Below are 19,836 nucleotides of genomic sequence, written 5' to 3'. Positions count from 1 at the left end.
AATTTCCAAGAGCTCTTTCTTGTTTATGAAAGTTTCTCTTTATGTGTACTGTTTTTGTTCCATTAATTCAATAGCTTATCTTATTTATCAGAGGAATTACTGATAGATTTTAAAATTTTATTTTTCATTTTATGCTGAAAGAATTTTAAATTTAAAAAAAATTTCAAGAACTTTTTTTCTGAACCATCCAAGATTAAATTTCCAACACAATGCCCATCCTCCCAACATGAGTACACACTCAAACAAGTATATGACAGCCATCTAACCCACAGGCCCAGATCAGATTTCTCTAATTGTCCCACTACTGTCCCCCCTACCCCCCCTTTTTTTTTCAGACAGGGTCTCACTCTATTGCCCAGACTGGAGTGCAGTGGTGCCATCATAGCATAGTCTGGAACTGTTCTTCCCAAGGGATCCTCCTGCCTCAGCCTCCTGAGTAGCTAGGAGTACAGATGTGCACAACCATGCCTGGCAAATTTTTAAAAAAGTTTTTCATAGAGATAGGTCCCTATATTGCCCAGGCTGGTCTTGAACTCTTGGGCTCAAGCAATCCTCCTCCCTCAGCCTCCTAAAGTGCTAGGTTACAGGTGTGAGCTGCCATGCCCGGCCCTAATACTGTCCTTTATATTAAAAGGGTCTCTTCCAGGACCATGCATTGCATTTGTTTTCATGTTTCTTTCTTTCTTTTCTTTTCTCTCTCTTTTTTTTAATTGAGATGGAGTCTTGCTCTGTCACCCAGGCCAGAGTGCAGTGGCGAGATCTCAGCTCACTGCAACCTCCACAGCCTGGGTACAAGCGATTCTCCTGTCTCAGCCTTCCAAATAGTTGGGACTACAGGTACCTGCCACCGCACGCAGCTATTTTTTTTATTTTTAGTAGAGACGGGGTTTTGCCACGTTGGCCAGGCTGGTCTCAAACTCCTGACCTCAGGTGATCTGCCCGCCTCAGCCTCCCAAAGTGCTGGGATTACAAGCGTGAGCCACTGCACACCTGGCTCATGTTTCTTTCAATCTGGAACAATTTCTCAGTGTTTCTTTTTTTTTGGCAGGAATAGGACAGAAGTGATACTGTGTTATTGCCTCCCATCTGGTGGTACCTGATTTCAATTTGTACCATTATTGAGAATGTTAACTTTGTTCTCTTTTTAAAAAAAATTTGATACAATCGTTTATTTTGTTTGCATATTTGATTTGTTTTTAATCCAAACCTCACCAGAATGTTAACTTTGACCTGGATTAAGGTGGTGTCTGCTAGGTCTTTCCACTGTAAAGTTACTCTTTTGCCCTTTGTAATTAGTAAGTGTTTTGTGGAAAGGTACTTCTTTGAGGTACATATCCTGTTCCTTATCATAGTTTTCCTCACTATTTTTAGTTTTTTTTTTTTGCTGAATGAATTATTACTATGAAGTTTGCCTAATAGTGGTTTTTTCAATTTCATTGTTCCTTCTAAATTTATTAGTTGTTATTCTGCTGTAAAGAAAGATGTTCTCATTTGTTTATGTATTCTTTTATTCTTATCAGTATGAACATGTGGATTCCCACTTCATTTGATAGATTATGACCTTTTACTGTCATTATTTATTTTGATGCTCAGAGTTGGTTAGGGGAGCCCCCTTCAAGCCCCTTTGACATCCTGTTGACATATCTCTGTCATTCTTTAAGCACTTCTTTACTTTCTGCCACAGCAAGATGGTCTGAGTTCATCTTGTACTTTCCTTGTCTCAGCCCTGAAATCAATCATTTCTCCAAGGATCCCTGGTTTCTTTTAGTGGAGAACGGTATTTAGAGACCAAGATTTGGGACTAGGGGTGTTAACTGCTATTAGAGTATGACCATTTCCAAACTGTCTTGGTGCATAGAGCTAAGGAGTATGCATATATGTCTACACTTTTTTTTTAACTTTTATTTTTGGTTTGGGGGTATATGTGAAGGTTTGTTACGTAGGTAAACATGTGTCATGAGTGTTTGTTGTACATATTATTGCATCACCCAGGTATTAAGCCCAGTAGCCAATAGTGATCTCTTCTGCTCCTCTCCCTCCTCCCACCCTCCACTCTCAAGTAGGCCCCAGTGTCTGTTGTTCCCTTCTTTGTGTTCATAAGTTCTTATCATTTAGCTCCCACTTAAAAGTGAGAGCATGTGATATCTGGGGCTCTGTTCCTGTCTTAATTTGCTAAGGATGATAGCCTCCAGCTCCAGTCCAGTTATGTTCCCACAAAAGACATGATCTCATTTTTTATGGCTGCATAATATTCCATGGTACATATGTGCCACATCTTCTTTATCCAATCCATCATTAATGGGCATTTAGTTTGATTACATGTCTTTGCTATTGTGAATAGTGCTGCAATGAACATTCATGCGCATGTGTTTTTATAGCAGAATGATTTTTTTCTTTTTTCTTCTTCATTTATCTGAAATTCTAATATGATGAAGAATCCTGCTTTTATTTTTTTTTTGTTTTTGAGATGAAGTCTTGCTCTTGTCCCCCGGGCTGGAGTGCAATGGCACGATCTTGGCTCACTGCAACCTCCGCCTCCTGGGTTCAAGCGATTCTCCTACCTCAGCCTCCTGAGTAGCTGGGATTACAGGCACCTGCCACCATGCCTGGCTAATTTTTGTATTTTTAGTAGAGATGGGGTTCCGCCGTGTTGGCCAGGCTGGTCTCGAACTCTTGACCTCAGGTGATCTGCCCACCTTGGCCTCCCAAAGTGCTGGGATTACAGGCATGAGCCACCGCCCCTGGCTTTTTTTTTTTTTTTTGAGACAGGAGCTCACTCTGCCACCCAGAACTGGGGTACAAGGGCATGGTCTCAGCTCACTGTAATCTCCGCCTCCCGGACTCAAGCAATTCTCCTGTCTAAGCCTCCCAAGTAGCTGAGACTACAGGCGCGGGACACCACTCCTGGCTAATTTTTGTATTTTCAGTAGAGACGGGGGTTCACTATGTCGGCCAGGCTAGTCCTGGACTCCTGACATCGGGATCTGCCTGCCTCGGCTTCCCAAAGTGCTGGGATTGCAGGCCTGAGCCACCACTCCCGGCCGAATTTTTGTATTTTTAATAGAGACGGGGTTTCACCATGCTACCCAGCTTGGTCTCAAACTCCTGACCTCAGGTGATCCACCAGCCTTGGTCTCCCAAAATGCTAGGATTACAGGTGTGAGCCACTGCTCCCCACCTCAGCCAAGATTCTTAAAAGACTGTGTCCCCACTTCCTCACCTTCCATTCACTTGAAAGAAAGGATAAAGAAGAGTCATGAAGAGTATGGAGTTTGTATTGCCTCTTGGCCTTTTGGCTAAGATCAAGTGGAGTATGGAGTTTCTTGACAGACAGACCTGGGTTTATACCCCAACTGATTCTTACGATTAAGCCTGTTTCCCTCCCCCTAAAGAGAGAGATAACTGTGCCTGCCTCACTTTGGAGGGTTGTTGTGAGGATTAAATAAGATCATTCATATAAAACAGCGCACACCTGGTACATAACAAGCAGTCAATAAACATTAGGTATTATTATCAATATCAATTACCGTACTAAAATCTGTCTTCTGCCCCGGTGCTATACTGGAAATGCTCTTGCCAAGGTTAGCAATGACTTTCCAGTTGCCAAAACCAACAGTAGTTTTTGGCCCTCGTCTTACTTCCTTAAAATTCCCAACCACTCCTTCTTCCTGAAGTCCCCTCTCCTTCTGGCTGCTGGAACACCACTCTTTTCCTGTCCTCTGCCTGTCTCTCCCTTCACAGCCACCTTGCCAAATCCTGTTCCACTGTCTGACTCCACCTGGTGTTGCTCTTTCCTGAGCTCATCCTTTCTCCCCCTTCCCAGCTTTACCCACCTTTCCCTGAGAGATCATGTCTACTCCTGTGGTTCTAACTGCCATCTCTATGCAGAAGGTACCTTCCCTATCTCCACCTCTGACCTCTCTCCTACCTCCAGTCCCATATTGCCAGGTAGGTTCCCTAGAGGCACCCCAGATTCAGTATTCAACTTATGCATCTCTGAAAGCATTATTTACCATGCCCGCCATGAAACCTGCTCTTTCTCTTAGACTCTGACAGTTGCTATTGCCTCCAACCTCATCAAGTACACAGACCTAGTAACCTAGACATCATTCTTTCCATCTTCTTCCTCCCCAAATCCAACCTATCCCCAGGTCCTGTCATTTAACTTATCTGCTCAGTGAATTCTGCTCTCTCTCCTTCTTTCTCTTCTTGCTGGGTAGAGGATGGATTAGATGGCCAAAGAGATCAGTTAGGAGCCATTTTCCATCATAGTCTGAGAGATGATGAGGGACCTCCTCACTGATATGCTTGGCCCTTCTTAATCTATCTCTATTTGGTTGTCAGAGTAATAGTCCTTAAAGTCCCATTAAGTCATCCTGCTGCTGCTTCGAAATCTTTAATGGTTCCCCTCACCTATAAGATAATGTCCAAACTTCATAGCCCAAAACAGAGGCTGTTGATATAGTGACTCCTGATGCCTCTCCAGCCTCAGGTATCACCACTTCTCTCCCCAACACACACATACACACTAAAGCTACTTGCGGGACTTCACTCCAGATCCTAGTCAACCTGTTGTTGACTCGGCCAGTAATGTTTTTCCGTCCTTGATCCACCTGACCATTTCCTACCCAACTTTCAAAATCCTCAGAATTTCATCTTGAAACCTTCTCTGAAGCATCATGCCATTGTACCCTTGCAGAATTAATTACTTTTTCCTCAGTACTTCTTCTAGCCTTAGTATATATCTTCATTATGGAATGGAACATTGTGTTATATTTGTTCATATGTCTATCTACCTTTGCTACTAATAGAATATAAATTCCTTGAAGTCAGCTATCTGTTTTCATTCATATTTTCTCCCCCATAGTCAAGTACAGTGCCTGGAACACAGTGGATGTCCAGTTAATAGTTATTAAACTGAACTGAATTTCTGTAAAGGTGAGGCATGAAAGAGGGAGGGGAAAGAGGGTGCCAAGAGAGACAGGGAGGAAGGAATTAGGATTGGAAGAAGACATCTTGTGTGCCAATCCATGAAGTTTGGATAAATTGGCTGATAAATTTGTTTTAAGAAGCCAGTTCTGGCCAGGCACGGTGGCTCACGCCTGTAATCCCAGCACTTTGGGAGGCTGAGGCGGGCGGATCACCTGAGGTCAGGAGTTCGAGACCAGCCTGGCCAACATGGTGAAACCCTGTCTCTACTAAAAATACAAAAATTAGTCGGGCATGGTGGCGGGTGCCTGTAATCCCAGCTACTCGGGAGGTTGAGGCTGGAGAATTGTTTGAACCCAGGAGGCGGAGGTTGCAGTGAGCCGAGATCGTGCCACTGCATTCTAGCCTGGGCGAGTGAAACTCCATCTAAAAAAAAAAAAAAAAAAAAAAAGAATAAGAAGCAGCAGCTGTGTGAGGAGAGGGGAGGAGTGCTCCAGATAGAGGAAACAGTAAATTCAAAGGTTGTGAAGTGGGAAAGAGTTGAGCTGATCCGAACCTCTAAGGGCCAGCATGGCTGGAGCCGAATGAGCAACTAGGGCATGGCATGAGTTGAAGAGGGAGGGATTGGTAGAATTCAGATTGTGTAGGTCCTTGTAGACCAGAGCAGGGAATGTGGAGTGTATCCTCAGCTCATTGGGAAGCAACTGAAAATGCAGAGTAATGATACTTTCATTTACATTAAAATAATCACTAAGGCTGTGCGCAGAATAGATGGGGGCTAACACGAGAATAAATAGGGAGCCCTAGTTAGGAGACTACAGCAGTAAACAGGCCAATGAAAGATATCTGTCTGGATGAAGGTGGAGGCAATGGGGCAACAAGGAGTGGACATATTCAGAAAATATTTTAGAGGTTGAATTCATAGGGCTTGGTGATAGATTAGATGTACAGAGATCTAGGATAAGGAAGTGGAAATTGAGGTAGTGTGTAGGTCTTTTGGAAAGTTTATTTTTGAAGAGGAGACTAAAGGGAAGTAGTTGATTCAAAAGCTCTTTCTAGCCAGGTGCGGCGACTCATGCCTGTAATCCCAGCACTTTGGGAGGCTGAGCAGGGTGGATCATTTGAGGTCAGGAGTTGGAGATCAACCTGGCCAATATGGTGAAACCCCGCCTCTACCAAAAAATACAAAAATTAGCTGGGCCTGTTGGTGAGGGCCTGTAGTCCCAGTTACTCAGGAGGCTGAGGCACAAGAATCGCTTCAACCTGGTAGGCAGAAGCTGCAGCGAGCCAAGATCGCACCACTACACTCCAGCTTGAGCCACAGTGAGGCCCTGTCTCAAAAATGAAACAAAACAAAAACTCAAAAGCCCCTTCAGTAAGCATTTACTGAGCACCTACTAAATGCCAGGCCATATGTGAGGTGCTGGACACACAAAGAAGAATAAGACATAGACAGACTCAGTTCTTGTGGAAGGCAAACCTACAACCAAATCAACTCTGCTACTTTGCAGTAATAGAAATTTGCACGATGGTGGCACAGATGACTGGGAAGTGATTAACTCTGCTCTTGGGTACTGGAGGGAAGAGATATCAGGGAATGAGGTTAAGACCAGATTCAGTGGAAGACGGGTCTAGAGGAGAAGGGAAATTGAGGAACATTCAGCACTATGACCTTGATTTTTCCATTAAATATGAGGCAGTCATCTGCCTTGAGTAGGTAATAGGTTAGATAGCTTGAAGGAATGAATGCTGCACATCCCTGGCTGGGTTCCCAATAGGTGACACAGCTGGATTTGAACCTTCAGCATCCAGCATGGTGTCCTGGTCCTGGTCACGGGGTATTTTACACTCATTGACAGATATCACTGAGGGCATATCCTTAAAAAGCTCTTGGACAGGAGCGGTGGCTCATGCCTGTAATCCCAGCCCTTTGGGAGGCCGAGGCGGGCAGATCACGAGGTCAGGAGTTGGAGACCAGCCTGACCAACATGGTGAAACCCCATCTATACTAAAAATACAAAAATTAGCCGGGCGTGGTGGTGCAAGCCTATAATCCCAGCTACTCAGGAGGCAGAGGCAGGGGAATCACTTGAACCCAGGAGGTGGAGGTTGCAGTGAGCCAAGATCTCACCACTTCACTCCAGCCTGGGCAACAGAGGGAGACTGTCTTAAAAAAAAAAAAAAAAAAAAAAAAAGCTCTATTTTCCCCCAAGTTACTTACTATTATTCACTCAATAGCATTTAATAAGCATTTATTGTGTACCTGGTATGGAATAAATGAATGAATAATAAGTGAATGAACAAAAGAATCAATCGAACAAGTAAAGAATTATAGTTTGTCCTTGGCATTAGAAACAAGATTTAACTTAAAATTTGAGAACTTAATGATCTTAGCTAGCTTCACCTTTCACATCCAGGTTTTGTAGTGGCTCAGACTGCCTATTATAAAAACAGCTATTGCTGATTGGGGCTTGTAATGAGCCAGTCCCTATGCTGAGCATTTTATGTAAACTATTAATATTTATCATTTAAGGCCAGGAGTGGTGGCTCACGCCCATAATCCCAGCATTTTGGGAGGCCGAGGCAGGCGGATCACTTGAGGTCGGGAGTTCAAGACCAGCCTGGCCAACATGGTGAAACCCTGTCTCTACTAAAAAATACAAAAATTAGCCAGGTGTGGTGGTGCACACTTGTAATCCCAGCTACTCTGGAGGCTAAGGCAGGAGAATCACTTGAACCCGGGTGAGGGAGGTTGCAGTGAGCTGAGATTGCACCACTGCACTCCAGCCTGGGCGACAGAGTGAGACTCTGTCTCAAAAAAAAAAAAAAAAAAAAAAATATATATATATATATATATATATATTTCATATTTACTCTTCTTACAAGCTCCCCAGAGGCAGATGTACCATCCCCATTAAACAGATGAGAGAACAGGCATAGGGAAGTTATTTGTAAATAATTTAGGAATTCAAACCCCAGTCTTACTATTCCATAGTCAGATCTCTACACTAAGCATATTTTTCATTCTTCCCTTACTTCCAAGCGGCATTATACTCTTGTGTAAAGATTACTTGATCACTTGAATCTGTATCTTTTTAGTTACTGAAAACGTTGAGAGGATATATTAGAAGCTCCAACTTTTGCTTGCTAGAACGCATATACATGCATCTTCAAACAGGGAACATGATCCTTTACGCTTGTGCCACTGACTGTGGGCACCTAACCTGGTATCTTTGTCATCATTTCTCTCCTTCCTGCAAATTAACCAGCCAATAGATATTGAACATCTCAATATCAACCAATTTACAAGAAAGAACTAGTTCTGCTATCTGGAATTGATAATTATAAGATATGATACATGAAAGCTTCTGATGTGGTAAAAGAAACAACATCACAAAAAGCTCAATAAAGGCAAACAAGCTGGTACATACTTGGGTACTAAACTGTGTAGAGTAGTTGGTAAACAAAGGTCTTGAGAGATATGACACCTGGACCCATCTGAGGGAAGGGAAAGTAAGATTTATTAAACTTCAAGGCTGGGCATGGTGGCTTGCACCTGTAATCCCAGCATTTTGGGAGGCCAAGGTGGGAGGATTGCTTGAGCCCAGGAGTTTGAGATCAGCCTGGGCAACATAGCAAGACCATCGTCTGTACAAAAAAATAAAGAAATTAGCTGCATGTGGTGACATGCACCTGTAGTCCCAGCTACTCAGGAGACTAAGGCAAGAGGAATTGCTTGAGCCCAGGAGATTGAGGCTGGAGTGAGCCATGATCATGCCAGTGCACTCCAGCCTGGATGGCAAAGTGATACTTTGTCTTAAAAAAAAAAGGCGGGACACGGTGGCTCACGCCTGTAATCCCGGCACTTTGGGAGGCCGAGGCGGGTGGATCACGAGGTCAGGAGATCGAGACCATCCTGTCTAACACGGGGAAACCCTGTCTCTATCAAAAATATAAAAAAAAAAATTATCCGGGCGCGGTGGCGGGCGCCTGTAGTCCCAGCTACTCGGGAGGCTGAGGCAGGAGAATAGCGTGAACCTGGGAAGCGGAGCTCGCAGTGAACCAAAAAAGGGCCCCTGCACTCCAACCTGGGTGAAAGAGACAGAATCTGTTTCCAAAAAAAAAAAAAACAACTTAACATTATCTATTTATTTATTTTAATTTTTAGCACATACCACGTTTGGGAAAAAAGAATTTAACACATTTACCATGTATTAGATATCGTGCTAGTCTCTCCACATACATTGTCTTATTTTAATCAATTATCCAATCCCATTCAATAGATTCCTGAGCTTCTAATATATGTATACAAAATACCTTACTAGATGTTATTGGTGAAAGAAAGATGAACACAGGCTGGGCAGGGTAGCTCGGGCCTATAATCCCAGCACTTCAGGTGGGAGGATTGTTTCAGTCCAGGAGTTTGAGACCAGCCTGAGCAACCTAGGGAGCCCCTGTCTCTTTAAAATAAGGCCGGCACAGTGGCTCATACCTATAATCCCAGCACTTTGGGAGGCTGAGGCGAGCGAATTACTTGAGGTCAGAAGTTTAAGACCAGCCTGGTCAACATGGTGAAACCCCATCTCTACTAAAAATACAAAAATTTGCCAGGTGTGGTGGTAAACACCTGTAATCCCAGCTACTTGGGAGGCTAAGGCAGGAGAATCACTTGAAACCGGGAGGTGGAGGTTGCAGTGAGCTGAGATCGAGCCATTGCATTCCAGCCTGGGCAACAAGAGTGAAACTCCATCTCAAAAAAATAAAATAGCCTGGCGTGGTGGCTCACGCCTATAATCCCAGCACTTTGGGAGGCCGAGCCCGAGGCGGGTGGATCACTTGAGGTCAGGAGTTCCAGACCAGCCTGGCCAACAAAGTGAAACCCTGTCTCTACTAAAAATACCGACAAAAATTAGCCAGGCATGGTGGCACATACCTGTAATCCCAGCTACTGGGGAGGCTGAGGCAGGAGAATTGCTTGAACCCAGAAGGCGGAGGTTGCAGTGAGCCAAGATCGTGCCATTGCACTCCAGCCTGGGTGAAGAAGTGAGACTCCGTCTCAAAAAATAAATAAATTTAAAACAAAAAATACAAAAATTAGCTGGGCATGGTGGCACGCGCCTGTAGTCCTAGCTACTTGGGAGGGTAAGGCAGAAGAATTGCTTGAACTCAGGAGGCAGAGGTTGCAGTGAGCCAAGATCATGCCACTGCACTCCAGCCTGGGCGACAGAGCGAGACTCTGTCTCAAAAAATAATAATAATTAATTAATTAAAATAAAATAAAATTTAAAAATTAGCCAGGCATGGTGGTGCCTGCCTGTGGTTCCAGCTACTTGGCAAGTTGGGGTGAGAGGATAGCTTCAGTCCCAGAGATTGAGGCTGCAGTGAGCCGTGATTGTGCCACTGCATTCCAGCCTGGGCAACAGAGCAAGACCTTGTCTCAAAAAAAAAAAAAAAAAAAAAAAAAAGAAAGAAAGATGAACATGACTTTGTTCCTGTCCTCAGTGAGCTTAGAAATAACACATCTTTACAAATGGGTATGACACAAGACTATAAATCCAGTGATTATATAATTTATTGTCCCAATTGGGATAGTTCTGAGGATAAACAGGAGCACTAATAATAATTACCCTAGAAAATCCCAGTGTGTTCTGAAGAAATCTGATTTTATCACCTTAGCAATGAGCAAGCTCAAAGTGATGGGAGCACAAGGAGCACTGGGATGAATCAGCAAAGCTCAATGGTAGAAGTGGATTTGAGTTGGGCTTGCTGTTGGGGAGGGCATAGGCAATCAACATGTAAACAAAATAATTTCAGATCATTTAATGGGGTACAGAGTGAGGGAGAGGGGCACTACTTTAATATCATCAGGGAAGGCAACTAGGAGGAGGTAACATTTAAGCTGAAACAAATTATGAGAAGAACCAAGAAATTCAAAGATAAAAATATCACAAGACCTGTCTTATCCCAGCAATGATCAGAAGGTCAGATCACTCATGGGGTTTGGGGCAAGGAGGTCCCAAGGGCCTCCTACTTATTCTGAAGAGAGATGAGGGATCGAAATGTTATCCAGTAGTTAATGGAGAATTATGAAAGACTCTTCAACAGAATAGTGATCTGACTGGGAAGACTACTCTGGCATTACTGTACAGGATGGGTTAGAGAGGAAAAGAGGTTGAAGCAGGAAGTCCAGTAAATAGTCTAAGCAAAAGAAAAAAACCCTGGGTTGAGACAGTGGCAGTAATCATGGAGAAGCAGAGATGGAAGTGATATCCCAGAGCAAGAATGGCCAAGATTTTGCAACGGATGTCACCTAACATAGCGCCTGTCCCTGGGAGCCCTTCAGTGAATACTTGTTCTTCCCTCTTCTCTCATTCAACCTGGAACCAGAGTGAGGGAAGATTGTTTTTGTTTGTTGTTTAGAATGGAGAAAAACTTGGGAACAAATCCAGGTTGAGAGGAAGAAGCAACAGAGAGAGAAACATTTAATAATATTAAAAATATAAAGGAAAGGAGGTAATCAATGGAATATTTTATTTTAAAAAAGGATAGATTAGCCTTACATAGGAGGTGTGATGCTCTATCTTCCAAGAAAGGAACAAAATGAAGTTTGTCAGGGAGGGAGGTGGAAAGTTTATGAAGCTTCTGTGGATTTATGAAGGTGGGAAGTTTATGAAGCTTCTATTTGATTTGAAGGTAAGCTTATGGATAGAAGAAAAGATGTGGAATGCTGTAGTAGGAAATAATTGTCCTTGAAGAACAATTAAGTGGTTCTCATTCCTGGCTGGACATTAGGATCATCCAGGGAGCCTTAACACACACAAAAAAATGACGCTGGACCCCAGCCCCAAGGATTCTGATTTAATTCTCCTGGGATGGGGCCCAGGCACTAGTGGTTTCATAAGCGCCTCTGTTGACTCTAATGAGCATCCACAATTGAGAACCAGCAGTAAAGGGTTTGTGGAGCAGCAGAAAGGGCTCAGCTGAGGTTCAGAAGCAAGAATTTATTGTTGAACCAATCAGCCTGGTTACAGGGCTCTCTCCAGCATCAACATTCCTGGAGCAGAGGCTGTGAAATTAGAGTGTGGCACCTGTTTATTAAGGTTGGTAGGGCACAAAGCTGAAGAGCTGAGAGACAATAGAGGCTAGGGAAATAGAATTGAATTGGCCAACCTCAGGCTGTAATCTGATAGAATAAGAAGAGGTTCAGACAAAAGTCAACAAAATAACAATAGCAACACCAACTAATTTTTTTGAGTGCCATTTGCCAACTACTAAAATAAGTGATTTATTTCATTCACTTACCCTCATGACACTCTAGGTCCTATTATCCCCATCTTATCCACTTTATTGTTTCATTTTTTGTACAGACAGAATTTCTGTCTGTCGCCCAGGCTGGAGTGCAGTAGCACAATCATAACTCACTGCAGCCTTGAACTCCTGGGCTCAAGCAATTCTCCTACTTCAGCCTCCTGAATAGCTAGGACAATAGGTGCACGCCACCCTGCCCAGCTTATTTTTTGTAGAGGCGGGATGTCAATATGTTGCCCCGGCTGACCTTGAACTCCTGGCCTCAAGCGATTCTTCTGCCTGGGCCTCCGAAGTGCTGAGATTACAGGCCTGACCCACGTGCTGGCCACTTTTTACCCATTTTATAAATGGGAAAATTGAGGTTCAGAAGTTAAGAAATGGCCAGGCGCGGCGGCTCACGCCTGTAATCCTAGCACTTTGGGAAGCCAAGGAGGGTGGATCATTTGAGGTCAGGAGTTTGAGACCAGCTTGGTCAAAATGGTGAAACGCCATCTCTACTAAAAACACAAAAATTAGCCGGGTGTGGTGGCACACACCTGTAGTCCCAGCTACTTGGGAGGCTGAGGCAGGAGAATCACTAGAACCTGGGAGGCAGAAGTTGCAGTGAGCCAAGATCACACCACTGCACTCCAGCCCGGGCAACACAGCGAGACTCCGTCTCAAAAAAAAAAAAAAAAAAAAAAAGAGTTGAGAAATGTTTCCACATTTATGGAGTAATAGTTAATAAGTGGCAGAACTGGGATTATGAACCTAAATCTGTCTGACTCCAGAGCCTGAGCCCTGGTTGCACAGGAGCAAAGGAATGGGAAACATAGGAGGATAGGGGCTTGTGGTAATATATCTAGGATTCTGAGTGAGATTTAGATAGACCCAGAGGAAAGGAGATGAGAGGGTTTCTAAGGGAAACAATCAGAGGTGAGGGAATGTAACCTTTCAGGAGACCAGAGCAGCAAATGTATGGGGGGAGGAAGAGTAGGAAATCCGACTGGGTAGGCATATTGGCAGTCTCAGTCGGTCTATGGAGTGTAGACTAGATGTAGTAAAAGGAAACTGGGAGCCACTGAGGGGGTAGTTTACGGTGTGGAGATATGATAAAAAGTAGTCTTTAAAATTCATCAGGCAGATGAAAAGCAAGGAGGGTCACTGAGAAGATCTCTGCACTGAAATACTTTTGTCTTCCTTTGTTCCTTCCTTGTCCTGGTAGCCACAGATGTTACACAATCCAACCATGGCACTCAGGACAGAAGACATTGCCCATTCTTTAGCTATAAATTACATTCCCAGGGCCCAAACCTACAATCACAGTTGTATTTTCAAGAATCAATAAAAGTCTCTGCAGATTGACTAGTGGCAGGAAACCAGGGCTGGACACTTAATGATTGTTCAGACTCCTGTCGCTACCCCTGCACAGAAGGTTGTCAGAAGCAGAATCTTGTCACAGGTTCTTGGGCACAAAGGGGGCAGATTACACAAACCAACATCAGGCAGTTCAACAAGATCGCCATAGTGTGAACCCCCATCAGTGTTATTCCTCGGCAACTGCCCCTGAACTAACTTGGAAAATACCCAAGGAGAACAAGGTATCTTAGATGAGGACGATGTCAGTTCTTTCTTGATCTCAGTAAGTCAAAGTAAATTTATACCTAAATAGCTGTTTTCCAGATTTCAGTGTCTTCCAGCCACACATATTTTCTTTTTCTTTTTTCTTTTCTTTTTTTCTTTTTGAGACGGAGTCTCGTTCTGTTGCCCAGGCTGAAGTGCAGTGGTGTGATCTTGGCTCACTGCGACCTCTGCCTCCTGGGTTCAAGCAATTCTCCTGCCTAAGCCTCCCTAGTAGCTGGGACTACAGGTGCATGCCACCACGCCCAGCTAATTTTTTGTATTTTTAGTAGGGACAGGGTTTCACCATGTTAGTCAGGCTGGTCTTGATCTCCTGACCTCGTGATCCGCCTGCCTCGGCCTCCCAAAGTGCTGGGATTACAGGCGTGAGCCACTGTGCCCGGCCCAGCCACACATTATTTTCAAATTAATAAATAAGTTAAAATTGCTGGCATGCAGTCATCTTAGCGAAACTGAAGAGTCAAAATGAATAGCTAGAATTCTCTGGGTGATGACCAGAACATATACCATGCTGAGTCCCGATGTGGCCGAAGGACACCGTGAGCTGAGCCAGCTAGCTAGCTTGGTTGTGGTGTGCTGGGAATGAGGGTTATGTTATCTGTGAAAGAGAATACAAATTCTGCAAAGTAAACCTGGCAGTTTGGGGAAAATGTGTTTAACTCACCCACTCCCCTCCTCGTTTGTACTATTGCTTTCCTACACTTTTTTTTTTTTTTTTTTTTTTGAGACAGAGTCTTACTCTGTCACCCAGGTTGGAGTGCAGTGGTGCAATCTCAGCTCACTGCAACCTCTGCCTCCTGGGTTCAAGCAATTCTCCGCCACAGCCTCCCAAGTAGCTGGGATTACAGGTGCATGCTGCCACACCCGGCTAATTTTTGTATTTTTAGTAGAGATGGGGTTTCACCATGTTGGCCAGGCTGGTCTCGAACTCCTGACCTCACGTGATCCGCCCACCTTGGCCTCCCAAAGTGCTGGGATTACAGGTGTGAGCCACCGCGCTGGCCAACTTTCCTACTTTTCAATTTGAGTTTACTCAGGGGTTGGAACATTTATTCCAACAAAATGTGCCTGATGTAACCTCTCAGTGATTAAGCACGCCTGCTTAGTATGCATCAACTTCAGCGCAGTATGTGCACCTCTCTGAGGACATCTCTACTAAGCCCTCAGTGACTGATGCTGCTTCACTTTCTTCAGGTGTATAAATTGAAAAGGCAATTTTTACCTGCTATGAAGTCCCAAGAAAACGGGACTTGGCTCCTTGGGCATATTAGCCTTTAGTCTTGTTAGTGATGATCAGATGTTGCTTGAGCATATTTGGAAAATAACTTTGTATGTTGAAATTTTGGGAAATCAAAGTATTATACTGCAAATCACTTGAAAGAGGGCAAATACCAAATGGTAAAGCTTAGCCAGATGTGATATAATCATTTCACTGAAGATATGAGATAGGTAAAATTTTTTTCTTATAGGTAATGAACACATTTGATTGTAATTTGAGTTAAAGTATTATAGTCCCTTTTAAAAAAAAAGCCCAGAATGTTAAAAGTGTGAACTCCATTTCAGCAAGTTGAAAACATTTGAGTGTTTAAGATATTATCACAGGTCTGCGTATTCCAGGTTCAACTTACTAGGAATTCTGGATTCTAAGTATTTTAAATTGAAGTTAAAGTGAAATCAAGTGTAAATTAATCTGTGATTTTTTTTTCGTTCTGGTTATTTTTAGGTAAATAAATGAGGTCAGGATGTGAGACTGGCGAATAATATATGCTGAGATAACCCATTACTGTGATTGAATTCCAGGAGGAAATTGAAGAGGGGTGATGACGCAAAGGTGAATACAGACAACATGAAAACGGCTAATACATGTTGGGAAACTTTTTTTTTCATTTCTTTTTCTTTTTCTTTTTTTTTTTTTTTTTGAGACGGAGTTTTGCTCTTGTTGCCCAGGCTGGAGTGCAATGGCACGATCTTGGCTCACTGCAACCTCCGCCTCCCCAGGTTCAAGGGATTCTCCTGCCTCAGCCTCCCAAGTAGCTGGGATTACAGGCACCTGCCACCATGCCCAGCTATTTTTTTTCTTTTTTTTTTTTTTAGTACAGACGGGGTTTCACCATGTTGGCTAGGCTGGTCTGGAACTCCTGACCTCAGTCGACCCACCTGCCTCGGCCTCCCAAAGTGCTGGGATTACAGGCGTGAGCCACCGTGCCCAGCCCAAGTGAAAAACTCTTTACCACAATTAATAGGTGAGTTCATTAGGGATGATAGCACACCCTTCAGAAACCGTATTTACTACAGATCTCCCACAACTATCACACTCAATACTAACTAAAAGGCCAGAGGATTGGATTCATATAACTTTTTTAAAAGTACACATATATTTTATAAATATAAGGATATTATTTGCACTAGCAATTTATCTGTATTCCTAAAGTGTCATACAAATGATTCTTGCAAATCTGTTTTAACTAGGGAGAAAACAATGTATTGAGATAGTTGGACTAGACCTATCTACCACTAACACTAAACTTGGAAGAAAAGATCCAAGAGTTCATAGCTTAATTCTAAACCATCTATGCTTCTCACTTGAAAACAGAGAAGGGCTGATGTAAATGAGTTGTGAGGGTATCTGACTACCTTAAAAGCAGAATATTTGAAGGTTTTAGCCCTGGAAGGATTCCTAGGTGAGAAGGCAGCACCTATTTCATATTCTACTTTTGGTTGCCTCCTGGCTTTTGTTTTGTGACCTCAACCAGACTCCTTGTGTAGGTTACAATTTATTTGTGGATGTGAACCCGGGCTCCTTTTGTAGGTTATAGTTTATTTGTGGGTGTGAACCCCCTTCCTTTGCCTGGTTCAATTTCTTCAGTGGTTTAGGAAAGACACCCCTCCAAGCAGTGGCCTGTTTTAAATCCGTAGGCCTCTCTTCCTACCACTCACTTCTTGGCCCAACCCCCCTTCACATTCCTCTGCTTGGGAAGATATTGGGGCAAAAAAGGCCTCATACATTTTTTATTAAGAAACCATTTTCTCTCTAGGATGGGCACAAGGTGCAGGGCTATTTCCTTACATTAGAAGGTATTTTAAAACCTGGGCTGGAGACGCCATGCTGTAAATTTAAAATAAAAAAAAAATGTAAGCCGAACCTTCTTTTTAACCTTAAGAATAGTCTTCACTATTCTCCACCACCTTCCCACCGGCTGTGTAGAAATAACGACCACCAAATGAGAATAGGCTATTTACTCAGAGCTGGCAAGAGTCAGCCGCGACCCATCACTTGATTTAACAGACTCATAGGCAGGCAGGGGAGTGGAAAAGCTTTACATATACTGAAAAAAGGGAGAAACTTCAGGTTGGCTCTGATTGGAGGATGTTGGCATCGGGAAGTTGGAGGAGGGCTATACTAGAAGCAGGGCTTCTTACGCGATTGGTGTGAGGAGCACATTTGGCTTTCTCTGATTGGCCCAGAGCTGGAAGCAGGGGCAAGAAATAGGGAAGCTGCCGGTTAAAGATTAAGTCCTGACCCTTCTGGCCGATTACTGAAGAGGTTATGGGTAGGAGGTCATGGTTAGGTTTGGCCATTCTTTGTATATTCAGTCTCTCAATTGGGTGAGGATTAGATTTTGTTTCTCTTGACCTAGCTAGCTTTTAGCTCCAAAGTTTTGTTTAACTTGGAAGAAGACAGCAGTTCTATTATTTCTGTCAAGGATAAACACAGACATTGGGATCTGAAAAGTATTATGGGAACATACATAAATATCTTCATAGTGAGGGTCAGGCCGGAGAGTCACCCTTTGCCTTAAGCTTCTCCATTTCCTTACTGAATTCCTATTTCTATTATAACTGACGCTTCACTAGCTTCCCTCCCTTTAGTGGAGGGCCCGGCCTCCTCCGCCCCTACTTTCTTCAGTCTTGCCCTTCGAGGGCAGGAGAAGACGGTTGCGCCCTACTAACTCTTCACCTTACAGTCCAGCTTCTCCCCCCACCACCCCGGTGCGCTCTCTCGGTTTGCTACCCTCTCCACCAGGCCTCCCCACTCCACCTGCGCAACGCCCCCAGCTCCGTGCTCTCCGGAGTAATCCCCCCTCAGTCGCACTCTCACAGCCCGGCCCCTGCCCCCGCCTCACCCCCAGTTGTGCCTTCACCTCCCGGTTCCTCCTAGACAGGTCCCCCAAGATACGCCCTCACAGTCCGGTCCCCCGCCGTCCTCTCCCGGCGCACGCTCAAGTCCGGTGCCTTCCCCCCGCAGACCCCCGAGGCGCACCCTCAAGCTCGGTGCCTCTGCGCCCCCCGCAGGGGCGCCCTCAAGCCTGGTACCCTTCACATGAGAGCCCCCCGGGCGCACCCTCAAGCTCGGTGTACCCCCCCATACCACCCGCAGGCGCGCCCTCATGCCCGAAGACTTCCCCCGCCCAGGTGCACCCTCAAGCCCGGTGCCTTCCCCCACAACCAGCGCCCCCAGGCGCACCCTCAAGCCCGGAGCCTACCCGCCGCCAGGCGCGCCCTACAGGCTCGCCCCGTCCCACCGCGCAGCGCCCCCCGCGCACTCTCTGGAGTCCTCCCTCCTGCCTGGTGCGGCCTCCGGGCCCGGTCGGCCCCCCTTCCTGCCCCCACACTCAGACGCGCGCCCGGCGTCTCCGGGTCGCTAGTTCCGCGCCTTCCTGCATGGAGGCGCGCCCCGAGAGGCTCGGACGCGGCCCCTTAGGCCCGGCATCAGCCTCCCCGGCCAGCTGGAGAAGTCAGGTCAGCTTCCTGTCCCCGAGCAGCTGCCCGGGGGCCAGTTTTCAAAACATATCCTTAGTCATGTAATAAAGAGATGTTCCTCTGGTCTCAACTCCCGATTTTTACTTTGGAGGGGCGAAGGCAGGCCTACCCTTGCCAGCCACCATTTCTCAATCACGTCGCGGCTGTGGAAAAGCAGCCGTCCTGTCCCTTCAGAAAGGAACTCGTATTTCCCCCTCGAACTTTTCTCGTCGGTGTGAGAGAAGGGCCCTCCATTTTCTCCTCAGGAAGCTTTCGCGGCCCGACTTCCTCTCACCACCAGGCCAGGAAGGCAGTGACGCCGCGGCGAATATAGCCGCGGCGGCCGAGGTTTCGCCATCTTGAGTGGAGGAGGAGCCGCGGTCGCCGCCATGCGGAGAGGCAGGGAAAGAGGGAGGAGGCGGCGGGCGGGCGAACGGGCGAGCGAGGGAGGGGGCAGAGGAGCCGAGTTAGCTCAGCCAGGCGGCGACTTCGGCGGCGCCACGAGAGCGGGCAGCGGAGGAGGTAGGGCTGGACAGCCGGGGGAGCCGGCGGCTCGGGCGGCTGGCCTGCGCGCCCCTCGGAGCGGGGCGGGGGCGGGGGCGAGAGGAGGCCGTAGCGAGAGGGCTGGGTGGGGGCGGGCGGAGGTTTCCGAGGAGGAAGGAGCGTCCGCCATTTTGGGAGCTTCGAGTCAACAATAAAGGACCGAGGGTGCCGAGCGGGAGTGGCCTCGTTGGTAGGACACGGGCCCGAGTCGCGAGGCTTGGGGTGAGGTGGTGGGGTCGAGGTCAGCGGTGCTTTGGGGGCTGTGGGGAGCCCCCCGGGCCGGCTCTGGGGGACTCTCGGGCGGAGGCCTAAGGCCTGGCCGGGCCTGGGGAGGAAGGCGGTCGGCAGCTGTGTGGGGTGGGAGCGCCTGAGAGGAGGCGAATATAGGAATGTGGTGCGCAGCAGGGTCGGCAGGAGGAACAGGCTAAGTACTCGGAGTAGCTTTATCGAAGATGAGGGAATATGAGGCCGAAGGGGGCGGCAAGGACTTAGGGGGATGATGGTGGAGGTTATAGGGTACGAGGCGGCCCTATAGGGGGCGGCAGGGACATGCTGTATTGGAGGGCTCGGTTTAGAAGCAAACCGGCCGCTGCTTGATTGCAGTAGGCCTTGCGGGTCAATAACAAGAGGGTATTTATGGAGCCCCCGACTCTTGGAGGAAAGGAGGGGGATTTCTGGTTTAGGGGGTCCATTTGG

At 45.9% G+C, this 19,836-nt stretch overlaps 1 protein-coding gene across 13 annotated transcripts in view, besides 6 other annotated features; it reads left to right on the top strand.

Moving 5' to 3' along the window:
* Positions 10,863 to 11,157: a silencer, noted in NCBI's record as "tiled region #5837; HepG2 Repressive non-DNase unmatched - State 21:Repr". NCBI's record gives its function as "represses a minimal TATA promoter and a strong SV40 promoter by Sharpr-MPRA in HepG2 cells {active_cell/tissue: HepG2}" and the evidence as "EXISTENCE:reporter gene assay evidence [ECO:0000049][PMID:27701403]".
* Positions 17,168 to 17,277: an enhancer, noted in NCBI's record as "active region_5600". NCBI's record gives its function as "activates an Ori minimal core promoter by ATAC-STARR-seq in GM12878 lymphoblastoid cells {active_cell/tissue: GM12878}" and the evidence as "EXISTENCE:reporter gene assay evidence [ECO:0000049][PMID:35858748]".
* Positions 17,666 to 18,221: an enhancer, noted in NCBI's record as "H3K27ac hESC enhancer chr11:118662705-118663260 (GRCh37/hg19 assembly coordinates)". NCBI's record gives its function as "activates a minimal SCP1, AML or CMV promoter by ChIP-STARR-seq in naive H9 embryonic stem cells {active_cell/tissue: H9 hESC(naive)}" and the evidence as "EXISTENCE:reporter gene assay evidence [ECO:0000049][PMID:30033119]".
* Positions 18,278 to 18,567: a silencer, noted in NCBI's record as "silent region_3954". NCBI's record gives its function as "represses an Ori minimal core promoter by ATAC-STARR-seq in GM12878 lymphoblastoid cells {active_cell/tissue: GM12878}" and the evidence as "EXISTENCE:reporter gene assay evidence [ECO:0000049][PMID:35858748]".
* DDX6 (DEAD-box helicase 6) overlaps positions 18,473 to 19,836 on the top strand; it is a 43,982-nt gene continuing 42,618 nt past the window's right edge. For 6 of the 13 annotated variants that reach the window (NM_001425154.1, NM_001425147.1, NM_001425153.1 and 3 more), the window contains exon 1: positions 19,053 to 19,119. The gene's annotated coding sequence lies outside the window, so the exon portion shown is untranslated. Of the gene's footprint in view, positions 18,598 to 19,052; positions 19,120 to 19,274; positions 19,363 to 19,836 lie in introns of those variants that run through there. The other 7 variants (NM_001425148.1, NM_001425151.1, NM_001425149.1 and 4 more) reach the window with 3 other exon arrangements.
* Positions 18,838 to 18,947: an enhancer, noted in NCBI's record as "active region_5599". NCBI's record gives its function as "activates an Ori minimal core promoter by ATAC-STARR-seq in GM12878 lymphoblastoid cells {active_cell/tissue: GM12878}" and the evidence as "EXISTENCE:reporter gene assay evidence [ECO:0000049][PMID:35858748]".
* Positions 19,018 to 19,347: a silencer, noted in NCBI's record as "silent region_3953". NCBI's record gives its function as "represses an Ori minimal core promoter by ATAC-STARR-seq in GM12878 lymphoblastoid cells {active_cell/tissue: GM12878}" and the evidence as "EXISTENCE:reporter gene assay evidence [ECO:0000049][PMID:35858748]".

The sequence above is a fragment of the Homo sapiens genome, chromosome 11, assembly GCF_000001405.40.
Source record: "Homo sapiens chromosome 11, GRCh38.p14 Primary Assembly".
Taxonomy (NCBI): domain Eukaryota; kingdom Metazoa; phylum Chordata; class Mammalia; order Primates; family Hominidae; genus Homo; species Homo sapiens.
Note: the sequence above shows the minus strand (reverse complement) of the source record. Positions and strands in the feature narration are given on the sequence as shown.